Source organism: Homo sapiens, chromosome 1 (assembly GCF_000001405.40).
Source record: "Homo sapiens chromosome 1, GRCh38.p14 Primary Assembly".
Lineage (NCBI taxonomy): Eukaryota > Metazoa > Chordata > Mammalia > Primates > Hominidae > Homo > Homo sapiens.
In genome coordinates, this window is record NC_000001.11 from 201,517,866 (window position 1) to 201,541,040 (window position 23,175).

At 46.2% G+C, this 23,175-nt stretch overlaps 1 protein-coding gene, 2 long non-coding RNA genes and 1 pseudogene across 7 annotated transcripts in view, besides 1 other annotated feature; 3 read left to right on the plus strand and 1 right to left on the minus strand.

Moving 5' to 3' along the window:
* The window catches only part of CSRP1-AS1 (CSRP1 antisense RNA 1), a 27,572-nt gene extending 10,653 nt beyond the window's left edge, over positions 1-16,919 (plus strand). The window contains exons 2-3 of one of the 2 annotated variants that reach the window (NR_160748.1): positions 12,229-12,310; positions 13,433-13,716. This is a non-coding gene — a long non-coding RNA (CSRP1 antisense RNA 1). Of the gene's footprint in view, positions 1-12,228; positions 12,311-13,432; positions 13,717-15,558 lie in introns of those variants that run through there. The other variant, NR_160747.1, reaches the window with a different exon arrangement.
* Positions 1-22,280, minus strand: part of LOC124904484 (uncharacterized) — a 30,422-nt gene extending 8,142 nt beyond the window's left edge. Inside the window, exon 1 of the long non-coding RNA XR_007066793.1 lies at positions 22,154-22,280. This is a non-coding gene — a long non-coding RNA (uncharacterized LOC124904484). The remainder of the gene's footprint in view (positions 1-22,153) is intronic.
* Positions 486-997: an enhancer, noted in NCBI's record as "H3K27ac-H3K4me1 hESC enhancer chr1:201487479-201487990 (GRCh37/hg19 assembly coordinates)". NCBI's record gives its function as "activates a minimal SCP1, AML or CMV promoter by ChIP-STARR-seq in primed H9 embryonic stem cells {active_cell/tissue: H9 hESC(primed)}" and the evidence as "EXISTENCE:reporter gene assay evidence [ECO:0000049][PMID:30033119]".
* On the plus strand, positions 2,039-2,737 carry RPS10P7 (ribosomal protein S10 pseudogene 7; annotated as a pseudogene). The gene has a single exon (NR_026667.1). The product of NR_026667.1 is annotated as a ribosomal protein S10 pseudogene 7 (transcript).
* Positions 21,262-23,175, plus strand: part of NAV1 (neuron navigator 1) — a 287,843-nt gene continuing 285,929 nt past the window's right edge. For all 3 annotated transcript variants that reach the window (NM_001389617.1, NM_001389615.1, NM_001389616.1), the window contains exon 1: positions 21,262-21,477. The gene's annotated coding sequence lies outside the window, so the exon portion shown is untranslated. The remainder of the gene's footprint in view (positions 21,478-23,175) is intronic.

The window sequence follows — 23,175 nt, forward strand, 5'->3', positions numbered from 1 at the left end:
CTCAACCAGTTCTGGGATCTCACCCAGGAACAGAGGACAGGAAGAAAAATCCCACTTTGACCCCCTATGATTTCATCGCTGACCCAGCCAATCAGCATTCCCCACTTCCTGGCCCCCTACACACCAAATTATCCTTAAAAATTCCAGTCTCCAAATTTTCCAGGAGACTGGTTTGAGTAATAATAAAGCTTCTATCTCTCTTTCACCAAGTTTTTGTAAATTAAACTCTTCATTGCAATTCCCCTGTCTTGATAAATCTGCTCTGTCTGCGTATCAGGCAAGGAGAAGCCATTGGGTGGTTACACAAGTACTTATCCACTTTATGTTTCTATAAATTTGCCTGTTCCCTGTTCCGATTTTTTTTTTTTTTTTTTTTTTTTTGAGACAGGGCCTGGCTCTGTCACCCAGGCTGGAGCACAGTGGCGCAATCACGGCTCACTGCAGCCTCCACTTCCTGGCCTCTAGCAATCCTCCTGCCTCAGTACCCTCTACCCCCTTGCCCAGTAGCTGTGACTACTACAGGTGCAGGCCACCAAGTCTGGCTAATTTTTATGTATTTTTTGTAGAGATGGGGTTTCGCCTTGCTGCCCAGGCTGGTCTCAAACTCCTGAACTCAAGTGATCAGCCCATCTAGGCCTCCCAAACTGCTGGGACTATAGGTGTGAGCCACCGCGCCTGGCCTGAACATTTCACATAAATGTAACCATACAATATGTGGTCTTTTGTGTCTAGTTTATTTTATATAACTTAAGGGAAAGCTTCCTCTTTGCCCTCTGAAGGATCACTGAAAAAACAACTGATGAAAGGCAGATTAATTGGAGACAAGGCATATAAATTTATCAACATGCACGCGGGGGAGTACTGCAGAGTTACCCTAACCTCCCAGTGGGGTATAGGAGCTTACATACCATCTTTTTTTGTTGTTTTTTTGAGACAGGGTCTCACTCTGTCACCCAGGCTGGAGTGCAGTGATGCAATCTCGGCTCACTGCAACCTCCACCTCCTAGATTCAAGCAATCCTCCTGCCTCAGCCTCCTGAGTAGCTAGGACTACAGGTGTATGCCACCATGCCTGGCTACTTTTTGTAGTTTTTGGTAGAGATATGGGGTTTCACCCTGTTGGCCAGGCTGGTCTCAAACTGCTGACCTCAAGTGATCCGCCCGCCTCCGCCTCCCAAAGTGCTGGGATTACAGGCATGAGCCACCATTCTCGGCCCATACCATCTTGAGGTTACAAAATGAATGGGGACTCAGAGCATGGCCAAAAACAGATTATAGTGGTAAGCAGGTTTTAGTGGCAAGACACCTTATGGGAGGGGGAAAAGATGAGGCCTGGCTAGCATAAGTGGTCTTGTTAGGTAGATGAAATCTCACAGGTAGCAGCCCTCAGAAAGAATTGATGGTAAATACTTCTTTTCGACCTTTAAAGGTGTCAGAGCCTCAGTTAATTGTTCCTAAATCTAAAGAGAAGCCCCACATAAGTGAAGATTTTATCCACTGATGCAAATCTCTCCCACCAAAGACAGCTTTGCAGGGCTACTTCTGTTTGCAAGGCCCTTTGAACAGCTGTCTCAAAATATGTCAAAGAAGGATATTTTAAGGTGAAATATTTTTATTTCTTTCACTAACGTGTATAAATACTTCATTCCTTTTTTATTGCCAAATAATATGCACGGACATAGGACATTTTATTTATAAAGTCATCGGTGCTGGGTAAGGTGTCAGAGCCCCGCGTCGAATAGTGGTTGACTCGCCGCTCGCAATGGCTCACACCTGTAATCCCAGCACTTTGGGAGGCCAAGGCAGGTGGATCACCTGAGGTCAGGATTTCCAAAGTTCCAGACCAGCCTGGCCAACATGGTGAAAACCCGTCTCTACTAAACATACAAAAATTACCCAGGTGTGGTGGTGCGTGGCTGTAATCCCAGCTACTCGGGAGGCGGAGACAGGAGAATCGCTTGAACCCGGGAGGTGGAGGTTGCAGTGGGCCGAGATCGTGCCATTGCACTCCAGCCTGGGCCACAAGAGTGAAACTCAGTCTCAAAAAAAAAAAAAAAAAAAAAGGGGGGGTTGACTCATGGGTTGGTAGGAAGAATTTACTGACAACAGTATAGGTTTGAAAAAGGAAAGTTTTATTAGAAAGAAAGAACGTGCCTTTCCAGCCCCCCACCCGGACCCTACAGCCACCGAGATGTTGATGCCTAAGAAGAACTGGATTGCCATTTATGAACTCCTTTTTAAGGAGGGAGTCATGGTGGCCAAGAAGGATGTCCACATGCCTAAGCACCCGGAGCTGGCAGACAAGAATGCGCCCAACCTTCGTGTCATGAAGGCCATGCAGTCTCTCAAGTCCCGAGGCTACGTGAAGGAAGTTTGCCTGGAGACATTTCTACTGGTACCTTACCAATGAGGGTATCCAGTATCTCTGTGATTACCTTCATCTGCCCTCGGAGATTGTGCCTGCCACCTTACACCGCAGCTGTCCAGAGACTGGCAGGCCTTGGCCTAAAGTCTGGAGGGTGAGCGACCTGCAAGACTCACAAGAGGGGAAGCCAACAGAGATACCTACAAACGGAGTGCTGTGCCCCCTGGTGCCAACAAGAAAGCCGAGGCTGGGGCCGGGTCAGCAACCAAATTCCAGTTCAGAGATGGATTTGGTTGTGGACGTGGTCAGCCACCTCAGTAAAATTGGAGAGGATTATTATGCGATGAATAAACTTACAGTCAAAAAAAAAAAAGAAAGAAAGCTGCAGAAGAGTGCAGTGAGGTGCCTCAGCATGAGAAAAGTAAGTGCGCCACGGCAGACTTTTCCTTAGGGGTATTTATGGACCTTAAAGCAGGAGCTTAGGAGTAATGTGGACCATATTAGCCACATAGGTCATGATACGTGATTACATTTGTAGATATTTTGGTGCCTTAATGTCAGCAAGGGCTGCACAACGAGTTTCAACATGCATTTATTCAGGAGATGTACAGAAATCCTAGTTACTTAAAAAATTTTTTAAAAGCCTGGTACCAGATGCTTGCTTTAGAATAATAGGGACATCTAATTACTTCTAAATTCCTCAGATAAGAAATGTTGCCTCTGGATGGTCAGCTTGATGGTCACCAGGTGATCTTTGCTCTCCTCAATCAGTTTTTTTGTTTTTTTGTTTTTTATTTTTTTTTGAGATGGAGTTTCATTCTTGTTGCCCAGGCTGGAGTGGGATGGCGCGATCTCGGCTCACCACAACCTCTGCCTCCCGGGTTCAAGTGATTCTCCTGCCTCAGCCTCCCAAGTAGCTGGGACTATAGACACACACCACCACACCCGCTAATTTTTGTATTATTAGTAGAGATAGGGTTTCACCATTTTGGCCAGGCTGGTCTTGAACTCCTGACCTCGTGATCTGCCTGCCTCGGCCTCCCAAAGTGCTGGGATTACAGGCGTAAGCCACCGCGCCCAGCTATTTAAATCTTTTACTTATTTTATATTTAATTTTTTTCTCATGACGCAGCCCTCAGGAGATCTTGAGAACATGTGCCCCTTTTTACCTATTTTTCTTTCTTTCCTTTTTTTTTTTTTTTTTTTTTAAGAGACAGGGTCTCGCTCTGCCATCCAGGAGAGAGTGCAGCGGTGTGATCATAGCTCACTGTAACTTGTAACTTCTGGACTCAAGCAATCCTCCCACCTCAGCCTTCCGAGTAGCTAGAACTACAGGTGTGTGCCCCTATGCCCAACTAATTTTTGAATTTTTTGTAGAGACGGGATCTCAATATGTTGCCTAGGCTGCTCTCAAACTGCTGGCTTCAAGCAATTCTCCTACCTCAGCTTCCCAAAGTCCTGGGATTACTATGCCTCGACTTTACCTATTTTTAAATTATTTGCCTTTTTATTATTGTATAAAATTTCTTAAACTGATGTTCCACAAATGTAGTATCTGGAGACCTGTGTGTTCTCAGTCAGGTTTGTTTAATGTGGCTCTTTTTTTCCTTCTTTCCTTCCTTCCTTCCTTTCTCTCTTTTCTTTTCTTCTCTTTTTTTCTTTTTTTTTTTTTTGACAGTGCCTTGTTCTGATGCCCAGTCTGGAGTGCAGTGGTGTGATCTTGGCTCACTGCAACCTCCACCCACTGGGTTCCAGCGATTCTTCCACCTCAGCCTCCTGAGTAGCTGGGATTACAGGTGAGTGCCACCATGCCCAGCTAATGTTTGTATTTTTAGTAGAGACAGGGTTTTGCCATGTTGGCCAGGCTGGTCTCCAATTCCTGACCTCAAGTGATCTGCCCCCATTGGCCTCCCAAGGTGCTGGGATTACAGGCGTGAGGCACTGCGCCCCCGGCCCTGTGGGACTTTCATTTTAATGGACATCTGCCTCTGGCAAAGATGGAGTAACAGGTATCTTCCTGCTTAAAACAACAACAGAGGGCAAAATATATCAAACAACAGTTTTCAGGACACTGGAAATAGGCAATAAAGGAGAGTGGTCTATGAGAGATGAGAAACAAATGAGGCGCCCTCTGATTGTCCCAGCTTTCCATGTGAAAGAGCTTCCAAGCTGTGGCGCAGCAGAAGGAACCTAAGCAAAGCTCAGAGATTTCCTGAATTGAGAAGGAGCTGAGTCTGGAGAGATCAGAAAGTATAATAAATTAGCGGTTTCTTTCTACAGGGTCAGAAAGTAAGTTAGCAGTTGTTAGGGCTGGGGTGGGGGCACAGAAGAGTGGAGAGTGACTTGTAATGGGTACCAGGTTTCTTTCTGGGGTGATAAATGTTCTAAAATTAGACTGTGGTGATAGTTACAGAACTGTGTGAATATACTAAAAACTATTGAAATTCATTAAGTTGTATATACTAAATATGTACAGCTTTTCGCATGTCAGTTATATCCCAATTAAGTAGTTTTTTTAAATCATTGAGTTGTACATTTTCTTTTCTGTGGGGGTGGGGCAGGGCAGGTCTCACTCTGTCACCCAGGTCGGAGTGCAGTGGCGCGATCTCAGCTTATTGAAGCCTCAACCTCCTGGGCTCAAGCAATCCTCCCACCTCATTTTTTTGGATTTTTTGTAGAAATGAGGTCTCATCCAGCCTGGCCAAAATGGTGAAACCCCATCTCTACTAAAAATACAAAAATTAGCCAGCCATGGTGGCAGGTGCCTGTAATCCCAGCTACTTGGGAGGCTGAGACAGGAGAATCACTTGAACCTGGGAGGCAGAGGTTGCAGTGAACCAAGACTGCGCCATGGCACTCCAGCCTGGGCAAGAAGAGCAAAACTCCATCTCAAAAAAAAAAAAAAAAGGTCTCATTACATTGCCCAGACTGGTCTCGAACTTCTGGGCTCAAGCAATTCACCTGTCTCAGCCCCGCAAAGTGCTAGGATTACAGGCACGAGCCACTGTGCCCAGCTGAGTTGTATATTTTCAATAGGTGACTTGTTTGGTATGTAAAGTGTATATTAATAAAGTTGTTTTAAAAATTAAAAGTGAAATAAAGACATGTTCAGACATGTGAAAGGGGAAATAATTCACAACAAGCAGACCCCAATATAAGAAATGTTTAAAGTAAGTCCTTAAGGCGGAAGTAAAAAGAAGGAACAGAGATAAAGATGATGTCTTATTTTTCATTGGAAACAATACAAGCAAGAAGACAGCAGAGTAACATTTTTAATTTCTTTTAAAAAATTGTCAACAAAGAATTCTATATCTAGAAAAAATATCTTTTAGAAATAAAGAGTAGAAGAAATGGTAGCTACATGGTTAAAAAATACGATTTTAAAAAAATTATTTAAAACTGGCTGGGTGCAGTGGCTCATGCCTGTAATCCCAGCACATTCGGAGGCCAAGGCGGGCAGATCACTTGAGGTCAGGAGTTCAGGACCAGCCTGGCCAACATGGCGAAACCCCGTCTCTACTAAAAATACAAAAATTAGCCAGGTGTGGTGGCGGGCGCCTGTAATCCCAGCTATTAGGGAGGCTGAAGCAGGAGAATCGCTTGAACCCGGGAGGTGGAGGTTTCAGTGAGCCGAGATAGCACCACTGCACTCCAGCCTGGGCAACAGAGAAAGATTCCGTCTCAAAAAAAAAAAAAAAAAAAGGAAAGAAGAAAATTATTTAATACTTTTAAAAAGATAGTTGACTATTTAAACAAAAATAATAAGAATGTATTTCAGGGTTTATAACATTTGGAAAAGTAAATGCATGGTTATAATAGTATAAAGGTCAGGAGGAGACAAATGGAAGCACATTATTGCAAGGTTCTTATACTATGCATGAAATGGTATAATATCACTTGAAGGTAGATTTGGGTAAGCTAAAGATAAATAGTATGAATCCTAAAGCAACCACCGAAATAACAAAACAAAGAGTTATAGCTAATAAACCAGCAAAGGAGATAAATGGAATTGTGAAAATACTCAATTAATCTAAAGCAGAAAAAGAGAAAAAATTGAACAAAGAACAGATGGGACAAATAGAAAATAAACAATGGAGCCAGGTGTGGTGACTCAAGCCTGTAATCCCAGCACTTTGGGAGGCCAAGGTGGGCGGATCATTTGCGGTCAGGAGTTTGAGACCAGCCTGGCCAACATGGTGAAACCCTGTCTCTACTAAAAATAAAAAAATTAGCCTAGTGTGGTTGCACGCACCTGTAATCTCAGCTACTCTGGAGGCTGAGGCAGAAGAATCTCTTGAACCTGGGAGGCAGAGGTTGCAGTGGGCCAAGACTGCGCCACTGCACTCCAGCCTGGGTGACAGAGTGAGACTCTGTCTCAAAAAAATTAAAAAATAAATAAATAAACAGCAAAGTGATAGACTCAAATCCAACCACATCAATAATCACATTAAATCTAAATGGCCTAAACACTTCATTTTAAAGGCAGAGACTATTAGATGGATTTTTTTTTAAAGTAAGACTCAATTATTTGCTATCTACAAGAAATGAACTTTAAATATAAAATCTTTAAAAGGATAGGAAGAATATACTATGCTAACATTAGTCAAAAGAAGATTGGAGTTGCTGTATTAACACCAGACAAAGTTGATTTCAGACCAGTCTGGGCAATATGGTGAAAGCCTGTCTCTACAAAGAATACAAAAAATTAGCCAGGTGTGGTGGTGCAGGCCTATAGTCCCAGCTACTTGGGAGGCTGAGATGGGAGGATCACCTGAGCCCAGGAGGCAGAGGTTGCAGTGAGCCGTGGTCATGCCACTGCACTCCAGCCTAGGTGACAGAGTGAGACCCTGTCTCAAAAAACAAAAATGAAATGAAACAATAACAACAAGAGTTGTTTTCAGAGCAAAGAATATTACCAGAGATAAAGAAGGACATTTCATAATGATTAGAGGTCATTTCATCAAGAGGATGTAATAATCCTATGTTTATGCACTTTAACCACCAAACAGAAGGAAAAGCTTCCACTCCCTGAAAAATGGAAACAAAACACAAAAATTATACTTAAATCTCTACTGCTAACCTCTACTGCTATTTCACACACAGGGTACAGAATACAAATTTTGTGTGACATATGAAGAAGTAGAAAACTATGACTCATAATCACAAGACAACAAGACCATCAGGTGATCTAGTTATGAGAATCAGCAGACAAAGGCTTTAAAACAACAATTATAAGTATGCTGAAAATTTTAAAGGAAAAAAAAACACACAATAGGTAAAGAGATAAGGTATTTCAAAAGAAATGGAAATTCAAGAACGAACTAAAGGGAAATTACAAAATTGAAAAATACAGTGTATGAAGACTTACTGGATGAGCTTAACAGCAAATTAGACACTGCAGAAGAAAAAAATAAGTGAATTGAATATAAGCTAATAAAAATTATCTAAATTGAAGTGGAGAGAGGAAAAAATGGTTGAAAAAAATGAACAGAGCATTAGCAAATTGTGGGATAATAGTAAGCAGTCTAACATACATGCAATTAGAGTTCCATAAGGAAAAAAACAATAAGGCAGAAAAATATTTAAAGAAACAGTGGCTTAAAAGTTGATGAAAAATAACAATCCACAGGTCCAAAAAGTTCAACTAACCCCAAGCAGGATAAACTTTTTAAAAATCATACTTGGGGCCAGGCGCAGTGGCTTATGCCTGTAATCCCAGCACTTTGGGAGACCAAGGCAGGCAGCTCATTTGAGGTCAGGAATTCAAAACCAGCCTGGACAATTTGGTGAAACCCAGTCTCTACTAAAAATATAAAATTAGCCAGAGCTGGACGTGGTGGCTCACACCTGTAATCCCAGCACTTTGGGAGGCTGAAGTGGGCAGATCACCTGAGGTCAGGAGTTTGAGACTAGCATGGCCAACATGGTGAAACCCTGTCTCTACTAAAAATACAAAAATTAACCAGGAGTGGTGGTGGGTGCCTGTAATCTCAGTTACTGGGGAGGCTAAGGCAGGAGAATCATTTGAACCCAGGAGGCAGAGGTTTCAGTGAGCCGAAATCACACCATTGCACTCCAGCCTGGGCGACTGAGTGAGACTCTGTCTCAAAAAAAAAAAAAACGAAAAAAGAAAAAAAATCACACTTGGTACATCAGAGTAAAATTGCTGAAAACCAAAACTAAAGAGAAAATCTTAAAAGCAGCCATAGGGGGAAAAGACACATTACATGCAGGGGGTAAAATATAAATGTGAGAGTTATTTCTCATCAGAGATCATTAAGCCAAAAATCCATTAACTGGTAAATAAACAAAATGTGCTGTATTCATACAATGAAATACTACTCAGCAATAAAAAGAAAAAAAAACTACTATAGCTATACCGAAATGAACCTTAAAAACATAATTCAAAGGCCAGGCGCAGTGGCTCATGCCTGTAATCCCAGCACTTTGGGAGGCTGAGGTGGGCAGATCATGAGGTCAGGAGATCAAGACCATCCTGGCTAACAAGGTGAAACCCCGTCTGTACTGAAGATACAAAAAATTAGCTGGGCATGGTGGCGGGCGCCTGTAGTACCAGCTACTCAGGAGGCTGAGGCAGGAGAATGGCGTGAACCCGGGAGGCAGAGCTTGCAGTGAGCCCAGATCACACCACTGCACTCCAGCCTAGGCGACAGAGCGAGACTCTGTCTCAAAAAAAAAAAAAAAAAAAAAAAAATTCTAAGTGAAAAGAGCCAGATGCAAAAGACCATAAATTAGATTATTTCATTTATATTAAATATCTAGAAAAGAAAAATCTATAGAGATAGAAAGCACATTAGTGGTTGCCTGTGGCTGAGGGTGAGATTGATTACAAATGGGTAGGAAGAATTGCTTTGGGATGTTATAAATGTTCTAAAACTAGGCTGTGGTAATAGTTACACGACTCTTTAAATTTACTAAAAATCATTGAATCATACCTTTACCATGGGTGAATTTTAGGCTATGTTAATTATACCTTAATAAAGCTATTAAAAAGGTGCTGAGACAGAAGCCACCAGTTTGGAAAGGATAAGAGAAAAACATGTAACAGAAAAAGGGCAATTGGCCACACTATAGAATTATTATATATCCAAGAGAAAATAACCAACAATATAATTGGAAAAAGATTAGGAAATAGGAATAGAAGGCAATTCTAATCTGAACAAACTTATGAAAAGATGCTCAATCCTATTAATAGTTGGTGAAATACAAATTAAAATCATGATAATCTACAATTTCACATCCATCTGGTTGTCCAAAAAAAGGGTCTGACAATACCAGTGTTAGGATGAATATGGTAAAGTTAAAGTGTCCAGGCTCTGCGGCCATCAGTTTCACTCCTGGGTAGACTACTGGAGAAACACAAATGTACACAATAAGATCTTTACAAGAATTTCCATAGCAGCACGGTTTGTAATCGCAAAAAAATTAGAAACAATAAAATAAATAGGCCAGGTGCAATGGCTCATGCCTGTAATCCCAGCACTTTGGGAGGCTGAAGCAGGCAGATCACAAGGTCAGGAGTTCTAACCAGCCTGGCCAACAAGGTGAAATCCCATCTCTACTAAATATACAAAAATTAGCCAGGCGTGGTGGTGGGCACCTGTAATCCCAGCTACTTGGGAGGCTGAGGCAGGAGAATCGCTTGAAACCGGAAGGCAGGGTTGCAGTGAGCCGAGATTACGCCATTGCACTCCAGCCTGGGCAACAGAGTGAAATTCTATCTCAAAGAAAAATAAAATAAAATAAATAAATTAGAATGTAGTTGTACAATGGAATATTATACAGCAGTGAAAATGAGTAAACTAAAGCTATATGCATTAACATGGATGAACTTTACAAATTTGTTGAGTCAAAAAAGAAAATTGTAGAAGAATATACACAGCATGATGTTATTCATATAGTTAAAATGCAATGCATATAGAGTGTATAATATAGTAAAAAAAAAACATATGCATGGGAATAATTAACTCCAAGTTCAGAATAACGTTTCCTCTGGGGGGAGAGAAAGGAATGCAATAGAGGAGGAGCTTAAACTATATTTGTAATGCTTTATTTCTTTTTTTTTTTTTTTGAGACGGAGTCTCGCTCTGTCGCCCAGGCTGGATGGAGTGCAGTGGCACGATCTCAGCTCACGGCAAGCTCCACCTCCCAGGTTCATGGCATTCTCCTGCCTCAGCCTCTGGAGTAGCTGGGACTACAGGTGCCTGCCACAACGCCTGGTTAATTTTTTGTATTTTTAGTAGAGATGGGGTTTCACCGTGTTAGCCAGGATGGTCTCGATCTCCTGACCTCATGATCTGCCCGCCTTGGCCTCCCAAAGTGCTGGGATTATAGGCATGAGCCACCGCACCCGGCCGTAATGCTTTATTTCTTAAACTCAGGGCATTTACAGATGTGATGGTTAAATTTTATGTGTCAACTTGTCTGGGCCAAAAGATGCCCAGATATTTGGTAAAATATTATTCTGGATGTTTCTGTGAGGGTGTTTTTGGTTGAGATTAACATTTAAATCAGTAGAATGAGTAAAGCAAATTGCCCTCTCTAATATAGGTGGGCCTTATCCAATCAGTTGATGGCCTAAATAGAACGAGAAAGGCTGACTCTCCCCTAAGTAAAAGCGAATTCCTCTTGCCTAACTGCCTTCAAACTGGGACATTGGCTTTTTCCTGCCTTCAGACTTGAACTGAAACACTGGTTCTTCCTGGGTCTTGAACTTGCTGGCTTTTGGATGGGAACTACATCATCAGCCCTCCTGTTTCTAAGGCCTTCAGACTTTGGACTGGAACTAACATGCTATAGACTCTCCTAGGTCTCCAGCTTGCTGACTCACCCTGCAGATCTTGGGACTTGTCAGTTTCTACAATTGCATGAGCCAATTCCTTATAATAAATCTCTTTCTCTCTCCCTCTCTCTATTTCTCCCTCTCCCTCCCGCCTCTCTTTCCCCCTCCATCCCCTCCCTGTCTATCTATAGTGTACATTCTATTGATTCTGCTTTTCTGGAGAACCCTGACTAATGGAACAGATATGTTTGTTATATTATTCTGTATACCTTTTGCAGGCCTAAAATAGTTCATAATAAATTTTAAAATAAATAATGAATGAATAGACGTTAAAATGTCAGATGCTATAGAGGGCAAGTAAAATGAGAACTGGAATATGTACATTAGATTAGCTATTAAGAGGCCCATGATTGCCTTTGTAGGAGTGTTCAGAGTGGAGGCCTAATGGTGATGGGTTGTAGAGTGATAGGGGGTCTACACACAATTCATGGAGTTTAACAACAAAGTGAAAAAGAGCTCTGGGTCTAGAGTAGGGTGCAAAGGAGAGAAAGGGTTGTGTTGTTGTTGTTGTTGTTGTTGTTGTTGTTTGAGACAGGGTCTCACTCTGTTGCCCAGGCTGGAGTGCAGTGCAGTAGTGCAGTCTCGACTCACTGCAACCTCCGCCTCCTGGGCTCAGGTGATCCTCCCACCTCAGCCTCCCGGATAGCTGGAACCACAGACATGAACTAATTATTTTGTATTTCTTATAGAGATGGGGTTTTGTCACCTTGCCAAGGCTGGTCTCGAACTACTGGATGCAAGCAATCTGCCCGTCTTGGCTTCCCAAAGTGCTGGGATTACAGGGTCAAGCCACCATGCCCAGACAGAGAAAAGAGTTTTAATAATGGAAACACTTCTCTGTGCTGTGGGGCTTCCATACTAATTCTGTTGGAATTATCAGAGTCCTGGTCCTCCTTTGGTCGCTATGACTATTCCAGTAGAGATTCTGGAAGACTTGAACTTCGTCTCTGTGGGTACAAAGTGATTTTTTTTTTTTTTTATGTTTCACTCTTGTCACCTAGGCTGGAGTGAAGTGGCACGATCTCGGCTCACTGCAACCTCTGTCTCCCGGGTTCAAGCAATTCTCCTGCCTCAGCCTCCCAGGTAACTGGGATTACAAGCACCCACCACCACACCCGACTAATTTTTGTACTTTTAGTAGAGCCGGGATTTCGCCATGTTGGCCAGGCTGGTCTCGAACTCCTGACCTCAGATGATCCACCCACCTAGGCCTCCCAAAGTGCTGGGATTACAGTCGTGAGCCACCACACCTGGTCTTAGTAAAGATTTTTCAAAGAGCACAGTGCTACTGTCTCTCATGGAAAGAAAAGTATTAAACCCATGATGATTACATCTTAGTCTAAGGGGAATATTAAACCCACAATAAATTAAGCTAAAACTTCACAAAGACTCTGCAAGGCGTTGGGGCAGGACAGGGGGTGGGTAAGGAAGGGGTTGATTGTAACTGGAAAATCTTGGGCTACTTGTGGATGGTGTTTTTTTTCTTTTCTTTTCTTTTCTTTTTCTTTCTTTCTTACTTTTTTTTTTCCTCCTAAAGGTTGAGCTTGGCTAAAGGAGTGTTGCTAATGGTTTCCCAATTTAGTTTCAAGGGGATTGGCAGCAGGGTTTTCCAGGCCACAAAGGCTGAAGGGGGACATACTATTAGTCTGTCTCACTCCTCCCAGAAACTCAGTCTGGGTTTACTGTAATTTCATCTTAGTCTCGTCAAAGGCACTCCAGATGAGGAGATTCTGAGCTGGGGTATTTCTTCCTACCCCTCCCAGACAGATTGCAAGGTTTTTCCAATACTGCATTCTCCCTGGGGCTCTCCCTGGTTGGCGTGGAGAGAAAAGCGCCAGCAGGGGTCAGCAGTGTCCCACATCTGGCCGGGAGCTGCTTGCCACATGTGCTGTTTCTTCTGGCACGGCACTGTCAGAGATACTGGGGAAATTGGCGAGCACCGTTCCATTGAGGCGTTAGCATCATTATGAGCATCGCAGGCTCAAGATTCCTCTCCCTGAAAGTGGGGTGGGCTGGATGAGTGGAGGGTGTGTTCTTTATAAGCACTATGTGGGGTGTGGGTGTAGAATCCAGACATCAGCAATGCCAACTCACCATCTGGTTTTCTATCGGGAGGTTTTTATGTGTATTGGCGTGAGCAATATATTGTGTCGGTCTGGGTGTCAGAGGACGCGTGTCAGAGTTGCCTTGTTGAAATTTTCCCAGGGACCTGGGATTTCTGGATTCACCCGGTATCCAGGCTCTCCCAGAGCGGCACTTTAGCTGGCCAAGGCCTGGAGCAGAGTGTGTGCAGCGCTCCCACGGCCGCCTGCCCGGGCCTGCCCCCGACACATGCTTAGTGGAATTCTCCCGTGGCAGCCCAGAGTCTCCGGAACGAAGGTCTCCACAGCCAAAGCCACGCAAGAGGCTCTCCTGCTCTCATTTCCAGACGCACCCTCATCCTTGGCCTCTCCCTGCCTCAGTTCTCTTTGACTCCTCCGGTCCTTGTTGCTGCTCAGCTCCAGGGCACCCCCACCTCCCAGGACAAGTCCCCTGACTTTACAGCTTACAGGCCCAGAATAACAGATGGCCAGAGGCATCCCATTCAAGACTCCCCGCCTCCTTCCTAGCTCCTCAGTCTCTCCCACCCCAATGTGGTGGTGCCCAGGGAGGGGGTCAGGAAACCACAGAGGGCCTGTGGGAGGCGTACAGCTGGGGACAAGCGTGGGCTGGAAGAGGAGCCCAGTCTGTAGCTGAGACTCCCAGGGCCTCATGACCTTCCAGGCAGCCTCCACCGCTGCTATGACAGGCAGATGCCCGACTTTCCACCTGCTTTCTGACCTGGCTTTGGCAAGGCCTGAGCACCTGGCCTGCTTTCCCAGGAGTACAGTTACAGCAGCTGATCTAGGGAACAGGTGTGGGCTCCGTGTCACAGCTGCTGCTGAGCACATCTGTACCCACAGTGAGGAGGCTGCAGCTGCAGCAGGGCCTGTCAGTCACTCATACTCTCCCCGGAGTTGGGCTGGGGGCACTGAAAGGGCCAGGGGTGGAGAGAATCTGAGATAAGCATTCACAGAGCACCTTGCTCCTAGAGATCCCAAAGTGTGACCCCTGACAAGGTTTTCCCACAGTCAGCCTCACTGGCACCAGCAGCGTGGGAATTAGGGCTGGATTCTCCCCTTCTGCCTTGCTTCCCAGCCCTTGGGCCACAGTCAGCTCCTCCTCCTTCCTGGCTAGCTCAGCTCAGCTTTTGCAGGATGGAACTCTGAATCCTGGCTTCCAGTGGCTCTCCCAGAAAACTAGGAGGGAAGTGCTTGGAAGAATGGCTCTTTATTCATGCAAATGATTTCTTGCCATTTAAGAGCCTCAAACCACAAAATCAATTAAAGAGAAAAGGGGAAGATTTGGGGGTCTGTGCCAGCCACTGGATGCAATGCTTTACCTCCATCATCTTATCAAATCTTCCCAGCAACCCTACTGCATAGCTATTATCAAGATCATTTCTGTTTCCCAGAGGAGAATTCAAGGTTACACAGTTAGGATGCAGTGAATCTGGGATTTGATTGCCGTCCTGACTCCAAAGCTTGCACTCTGACCACTGGGCCACACTGCCTCAAATCTCCCATTCTCTGTTAAATCCAACATCTGAGCCCCATTCTTTCTCCCTTGCAGGGAATCACCTGCCTACCTCCACCTCATCCATTTCTCACCACAGCTGGATTCACCTCTACAGCCTTTACCTCCAGTCGTATTTGGCAATTCATCCTTTTCCAGCTCCTATCATCCTCCCCTACCCTCACCAAAGTGGACATCGCAGCCTCTAAATCTGAACGGAGCTGACACCTAGCACCCACCCTCTCACCAGCTACCTCTGGGTTCCCCCACCCGGTATTCCCTTCCTCACATCCAAGCCTGTTCCCCTCAGGCCCTGTCATGGCCTGAAATAGTCTTTGCCCCTGTCTACCACTCTCCAGGGTCCCTCTTGACACCTACTTCTGCTTTCCCCTCTCAAGACACCTTTTCTTGGCATTTTAAGACTATTTACTGACTATTTATTGATATAGGAAAATGCTTACAGAATGTATTAGGAGTATCTTACACTTTTTTAATAATTATGTATGTAATACATGAATAGATTCTCCTTGTAAAAAACAAACTCAAACACACAGAAAAAGTTAATGACTCCCTTGATGACTGCCAGTTTGAAGTGTTTTTCCAGACCTTAAAAAAATATACTTTCATACAAGCATATGTACATATAGAAAGATATACTTTAATGGGGCATCTTTCATCATAAATTGGATCATAATGTGCAAATTGTTTCACAACTTTTATTCTCTGTTTGTTTTCAGACAGGGTCTCACTTTGTTGCCCAGGCTGGAGTGCAATGGCACAATCATGGCTCACTGCGCCCTCCACCTCCCAGGCTCAAGCCATCCTCCTATCTCAGCCTCCTGAGTAGTTGAGACAACAGGCATGTGCCACCATGTCTGGCTAATATTTTAATAAAATTTTTTGTAGAGACAGGTTCTCCATATGTTGCCCAGGCTTTGATTCTTCTAATGCTCGGTATTAAGACTCTATGACTGTGTATTATACATAGAGTTTACATGTGAGTAAGTTCTGGGTGGAGAGACACTATTCCTTGCTAGGGCCTTAAGAGTCTGGCTGCAGCTCTGCTATCACATGGGCAAAACCAGCTACATAATTTACAAGATCCAGTGCAAAATAAAAATGTGACATTTCTTGTTAAAAATCATTGTGAATTTCAAGATGGCAACAACAAAGCATTAAACCAAGCAGGGGGCCTTTCTAAGCTTGAGCCCCCGTGTGACTGCACAGGTCATATGCCCATGAAGCTGGCTCTGCAGAGACTAGCTGACCGTTGGACTGGCTGTGTCCTGGATTCTTTTAGTTAATGCATTCCGTGTTCTGACAATGGACATTCCTGTCTCAGCCTCCACATTGGATCTGGTCCCCTGATTCTGCACCCAACATTCCTCAGCCACATTCCCTGCTCCAAAGCCAGAGCTCTATGTATTCCAGCACAAGCAAAGTCCCAGGGTCCATGCCTGCCAGTCAGCATTGCTCTGGAGGCACCCACAAAGATGGCAAAGATGGGGGGTGAAGGGGGTATTGGACAATGATATTCCTGTGCCTCGAGTGGAAAGTCTCTCAGGAGATAAGAGAGGACTGAAGTACCAACCAAGAAACCCGGGTTTCATTCCCAGCTCTGCCACTAAATTTACTGTGTCCTTAATTGGCAAGTTGCTTAACATCTTGGCACTGTTATCTCTTTATCTGTTAAAGGAGAGAGTTTGATTAGATTGTCTTTAAGACCATTCCCACTTCCAGCTCTAAAAGTCTGTATTTAAGTGACTCTAAGAGACTGTAATAATAATAGATAACATTTGTTGACCATTACCTTATGCCATTTACATGTTGATTTAATGCTCATAACAACCGTATGAGGCAGGCACTGTTATTCCCATTTTACAGTTGAGAAAATTGAGACTCAGTTTAAAACATGCATGGGGAACAAGGTAGCTTTTTGGGGTGGTGGAAATGTTCTAAAACTTGGTTCTGGTCATGGCTGCAGAACTCTGTAGATTTAGAGTTGTATATTTCGAGTGGGTGAATTTTATAATATGTAAATTGTACCTCAATAAAGCTGTTGAAAAGAAATAAAGAAATGTGCTGAACTAGTACATGATCAAGCTCTCCACACTGCTATGGAGACTATCAAGACTCCTTTCCTCTGCATATATGTAGTATTTGAAAACATGGACTCAGGAGCCAGACTCCTTCAGTTCAAATCCTACCTCTATCACTTACTAGCTGAGACCCAGACAAGACACTTGACCTCAATTTCTTTACCTGTAAAGTGGAGATAAAAAGTGGTACAGATTTCATAGGGTTGTTGTGGAGATTAAATGGGTTAATATATGTTAAATGCTTAGCATAGCAGTTGGCACACAGCAAATGCTATATAAGTAGGGACTATTATTATCTTCCATACCACAGGATTGCCACAGCCAGAACCAGGCTTCTTAAAGGGGCAGGTTTTCTCCCTGCAAACCCAACCCCTATTCTCCTGGGCCCCTTAAAGAAACACCTCCTCTTCAAAGGCCATCTTTGGAAAAACACCACGATGGCTTTCAGTACATCTCACTTCCTGGTAACAGAGAGAGAGTGAGAAACAGCATCTTCCCGATAAGGCAGTGACTCGCTCACTCTCGTAAAACATTCATTACTCTGACAGCTTTTCCCCATGGACTCTTTCTCCCAGGTCCCTGTAAGCTCCAACAGTCAACACAGAGGGCCCTTCTTAAAGGGGGCCCAGGGCCAGTCATGAGGCCCGAGTGGCCAAGGATGGAGATGCCTGTTTTGCCCATGTCCAACCCCATTCCACTAGCCTAGGAAACCCCTCACTGGTTAATGAATCAAGCTAGAAAGGACAAGGATTTTTAGTGGCCAGTCAGATTTCTATCACTGAAAAATGGGTTTTCAAGCACTGAGCCCATAACCACAGTGAATTTGACTGGGGTGGGGAGGTGGGGCGGGGTTGGGAATATGAGCTGATGCTTTCTGTTTGATAATCCCACTTCTGCTTATATGTGAGCAGCACTGCAGAAACCATTTTCTCCTCCATGATCTCACTGAATACTCACCATGCCCTTGGTAGGTGGGTATTCTTGTCCTCTGGGTGTCAACACTCCCTTTTACTGATGAGCAAACTGAGGTGATGCACTTCAGCCAGCATCAGAACCAAGGCATGGAGTCAGGTCTTCTGAAGCTGGGCCCAGTGTTTTTCCACTGTGCTTCAGAGGAGGAAGTCAGAAGCTGCCTCGGACTCCTCCTTAGAAGCTCCAGTGACGCTTATTAAGTGCTCAAGAAAATAAAGCAATGTGCTATCTTCATATTCCTGCCAAGGACCTTACAAACTGCTCTGGGAGCCCCAAACAAGACAGTCCGAAGGATAAAGACAGTCTCCCTGTGGGCCACGTGGAACGCAGGAGCTGTGAGTGTGTTCAAATCCTCAAAGTCCCATGTCAGATAACCCAAGAAACAAATTAGCATTGGTCCACAGACCTCAAGGCGGCAGGAAAACAGGCAAAGCCCCCAAAGAAATCAGGCTGGGGCTGAAAATGTCACTTGCCATACTTCCTGGGGTTCCCAAAACTCTCATCTCGTCGGAGGCCGGATCTGATACTCTATGGGAGTGACAGCAAGCTTCTGGGCTGATTTTTTAAAACTTATTTGTCAGGTTGACATTAATCCTTTCGCTACCCATCTTGTCCCAAAGCAGGATTGGCTCTAAGCTGTGGAGGAGGGGAACAGAGGGGCTGTTGGGTTTTAAGGAGCCTCAGTGAGGCCAGCAGGTCCTGGAGGCCACCTTCTCGGTGGGGAGTGGGGGTACAGGTGACTATGCCAAGGGTCTCCTGCAGTGAACCTGAATCTCCCTCCTTCCATCACTCACAAATCATTTCACGCCCCAGCACCTCTCCCACTCTCTCCATCCTCCCCTCCCCACAGCGAGGTCCTTGCCTTTACCTCTTATTGATTTTCATATTTAAGGAAAATCCATTTGCTAGACTCAGAGCAACTGAGTCATCACTGTGTTCAGACAAAAACTACTCACAAAGTAGGCATTTGGCAGAGGCCACTTCTGGGATGGGCGGGACCCTGTTTCTTACCCAAACAGTGCTCTGTCCAGAGTCTCTTCTGGCTTCTCCTCCCTGCCGCTCTGTCCTATCCACTTTCTCTTTCAGTAGCTTTCATATCCTCTGCCTGTCACCCCAACCAGACTGGCCCCTTTACTCCTTCCTCCCTCAACCTGTCCATATGCTATTATGTTTGCCTACACATACAGGTTCACTGTTGGAAATCTGTGAGTGGGACATTTTTCTGAATTTTTATTTTAGATTCAGGGGGTACATATGCAGGCTTGTTACCTGGGTATATTGTGTGATGCTGAGGCTTGGGGTACAAATGATCCCGTCACCCATATTGATTGGGACATTAGGAGCAGGGTGAGGGAGAACTTGTATGAGCAGCCACTCATAAGTGGGAGAGAAATATTGATCCTGTGTACTGATAGAAGAGATCTAACCCTTACGAAATTATAGCTTTGGCTTTCTTTTCCATTCTGGGTAGCACCCAAGGAATGACATCATCCCAGCATTACCAATGTGGATGGGGGCTATGCATCCAGCCTCACAATGGGTCAAGGAGTCATTTCACCTTCTGATAGTCATTTGCATACCTACTGTGTGGTCCTTGGTCCCTGGGGTCCCACCTTTTGAGCTCTCAAGAAAGGACAGTGCTTCTTCTTAAAGGACTAGGCTCCCCTTTGCAGGACTGGGAAGAGCACAAAAGGATTCTAGCTAGCACATCATTGAATGCCAAACTGGGCGCAGAGTTACATCTCCAAGAGTTAGATCTCCAAGAGTTAGATCTCCAAGAGTTAGTTACTCCAAGATCAAAGTAACAGCTAATGTTCACTGAGCATTTACTATGTGCCAAGCACTATTCTAAGTGTGTCACCTATAGTATCGCATTTAATCCTCCCAACACTCTTAGGAGATAGGAACCATTATTATCCCATTTTACAGATAAAGAAACTGAGGTAGCTAGAGGTTAAAGAGTTCAGTAAGTTCCCATGGCTAAAAAATCATTGATCCAGGATTTGAACTCATGCAGTCTGCCTTAAGAGCCCACACTTCTAGTCTTTATACAGAGGGTAAGGGTGTCACTCTGCAGTCCACCCCCTTATCCCGCGCCAAAAGGCAGTTCACTCCCTTCATGGACAAAAATCATACAACAAATCTTTTTCCCTGATCAGTTGGGAACTTCTTGAATGTCACTGCTTGTCCATTGTCTGGTGTCTCATCTCTCCAAATTCAAAGCCACTGTGGCCTTACTGACTGTGTGGGGCGTTCAGGGAGGACTCAAGGGCTCTCATCCTGACTCTGCTCACACTGATTTTGCTGGCAAAGAGCTGTGAGACCTCCCAGGGAGTAGGCAGTTTTGCTTTCTATCCATCAGTCCTCCAACTTGCAACCCCATGGCCCTGGGAATAGATCAGTCCTCTTATTTGTTGGCAGGAGCAGGGGAATCTGCTGGGTCCTTGGCCACAGCTACTCCCTTTCCAAAGCCTGCTTCAAAGCTCAGGTCATCTGGCTTCCTTCTGCCTTCTTCCTGCAGACCCTGGAAGTCCCCAAGCCAGGAGGCAGGGGGCTTGCACTGCTTCTGCAGTAGGTTCTGGCTGAGGGCCTTCCTCCCATTCACTCTCCTCAGGTCCTGTCATTTCCTCTCTCCTCTTCTTCCCCCTCCTCCCACTCCCAAGTCCCTGGAAGAAGGAGGAGGGGCATCGGCTGTCTGGAAGGTGGGGAGAAGTCACTTATTTTACTGAGCACCTACTATTTGCGGGGCACTTGCGGGGCCTCCCCCTCCTCTAAGACAGCTCAGACAGCATGACAGTTCAGTGGGGTGGAGAAAGAAAGGAGGTGGGTGCCCGGGGTCAGAAGTCGGGTGGAGAGGCTGGCCCATCCATCTGTCCCCTTCTCCTAAAGAACTGCGGCTGAACCAGCGAGCGGTACCCGGACGACATGTGGGGGAGGGAGGAAACCCGGCCTGGAAGTGGCGGTGGCGGGTCCCCGGGCAAAGGAAAGGCTCAATTGTGCAAAGGCTTCCTGCCCTGCCAGCTCGCGGGTCCGCCACCGAGCAGCCGCCTTTCTGCGGCCAGCCTGGGAGGCGGGACGGGAAGGCGAAGGCAGCAAAGGGTTACGGGAATAGCTTTCCAATGACAAAGTCTGGAAGGGACCCATGCCTCCGCCCCTCTGCGGGTTAAACTGGCACAGTGCAGGGGGAGGAAAGCCAGGGCGATCGGACGGATTCTCTCCTCCTGCCCGCCCCCCGGCCGCCAGGCACTCCCCTCCTGGGCCCGCCGTGGAGGCAGCCGGCGTGTGCCTGGGGCAGCGGGTCACGAGGCTCCGCCCCGGCCGCCGTTCCCGAGGGGACGGCACTTTGTTCAGGATGCCGCCTCCCTCCTCATTGTGGGGCCGGGGCCGGCGGCTGCCCTAGTGCGGGGCCCGAGGCTGGAGTGCGCGGCGGACGCCAAGCCTGGTGCGAGGGGCCGAGGCGGCCTGGGGAGCCCCGGGAAACTTTGTGCTCGCGAGAAGCGGACCCCGCACCCGCGCTGCCCTTGGGGATGCGCGACTCTGCGCGGCTGCGGCGCGGACCCGGAGCCCGGGCGGGCAGGCGCTCCGGTGAGTGGCCGGCGCGGGGCGGTCGCGCGGTCGCGGCGCTGAGGGTCTGGCGCTTCCCGTTTTGCGAGGCTTGGCTGGCAGGTCCTGCGAGGCCGAGACCAAGTCTCGGGGTAGGGGAGGTTGGTGCCCGAGGGAGGCTGTGGGCTGGGCTCGGGAGAGGCGCTGGAATAAATAACAACCAAGATGCTCGCGGCTTCCCGGGAAGGTGTGTGCCCTTTCGACCCCTATGGGACTGACTGCGCGTTTGATTCTAGAGTTGACTCTCCGGGGGGGCTGCCTAACTTCAGTCCCTCTGAGCCTCAGTTTCCTTGTTGTGAAATACCCACAATTTAAAGTGCGTTGAGATCTTATCATGAGACACCAGGTGCTGCGTTCTTATACTCGCACCCACACGGCAAGCACACACCCTACCCGCACCTCTGCCTTTCGTTGAAGCAAGAGTTAACTCCTCCCATCCCAGCAGGAGCCAGAGGAACAGCTGGGGCAGGTGACCTCGCGGGCCGTTCCAGAAAACGTTCCCCGCACCCCCGGGATGCGCCGGGAAGCGCCCTCCCGCCAATCTCCCGGAGGCCGTCCTCTCTGGCGCCCGCCCAGTGCGTCTGGGAGCGGAGAAAGTGGTCCCGGAGGAGAGGGGAGAGAGGAGAACGCAGAAATTGGGTGATCACGGGGAGCTCACCTGAGCGCTCCCGAGGCTTGGGCTCTGGTCCCTGCTAATCCCCAGAGCCGATAAAAACTGGTCATAGGATAAAGAAGCAGCTAAGTTTGCAGCGGGCAGAGGGGAGGCAGGAACTGGAGAGGACGCGAGTGGCGGGTGGCGGGGGCGGTGTGTAGGGGTGACGTCCACCCGGCAGAGAGGGTTCCTTGTCCCCTGGAGCCGAACACAGGAAAATCAGCTGGTGAGTCAATGGGACTTTGTTAGGATAGTCACAGGGCGCAGCTGGCGCCGGCTTAAGGGAAGAGCTGGATCCCCCCTTGATAACATGCTGTTTATCTGGCTTCCTGTTTCAATGATTGGGATACCATTGGCTCGTTCAAATTCAATGCTGAGAAGCCTGTGGGCACGTTCGTTCACTGTGCAAAAGCAGAGGGCTTGCCTGGGTTTTCATCTGTGGGCTAGCTCTTGTTCCCCCTACATGAAGTCCCCGGCAACTCACTTGTAATGGGACTGGAGACTTCGCAAAAAGAATGGCCTCCCCAGGAGGAGGATCTGACGATCTGACACTGCAGAGACCTTGGCTTCCTTTAGGCCAGAGATATATATGATTCCAGCTTGCTTATGACATTTTTTTAAATCCTGCTTTGACTTTTTGTTGGTGTGTCTTTGGGATTGACCTAAGAAGGGAGACAGAGGGAACAGCTCTATGGATTTTGTCTTCTAAGATGAGCTTCCTAGTAGTATGTGCTTTCACCATCAGTTTTTAGGGGAAGTTTTCAATCATCAGTTTGTAGTTCTCTATCTGGCTGTGTTGCTAACCACCTGGATGATCAGAGAGCAAATAATTCCTCATGTCTCTGTCCTGGTTTTCACTTCTGTAAAGTGGAGCCAGGAAAAAATCGCTACGGTTGGAAGAATAAAGAAGGTTTTTCAGATTTGGGCTCCAGCCCCTAGGGTCTATTTCCTGAACTTTCCAGGTGAAAGAGAACACCAGGTGAAAGAGAACACCATTTCCGGGTGAAAGAGAACAGCCCCTGATCTGA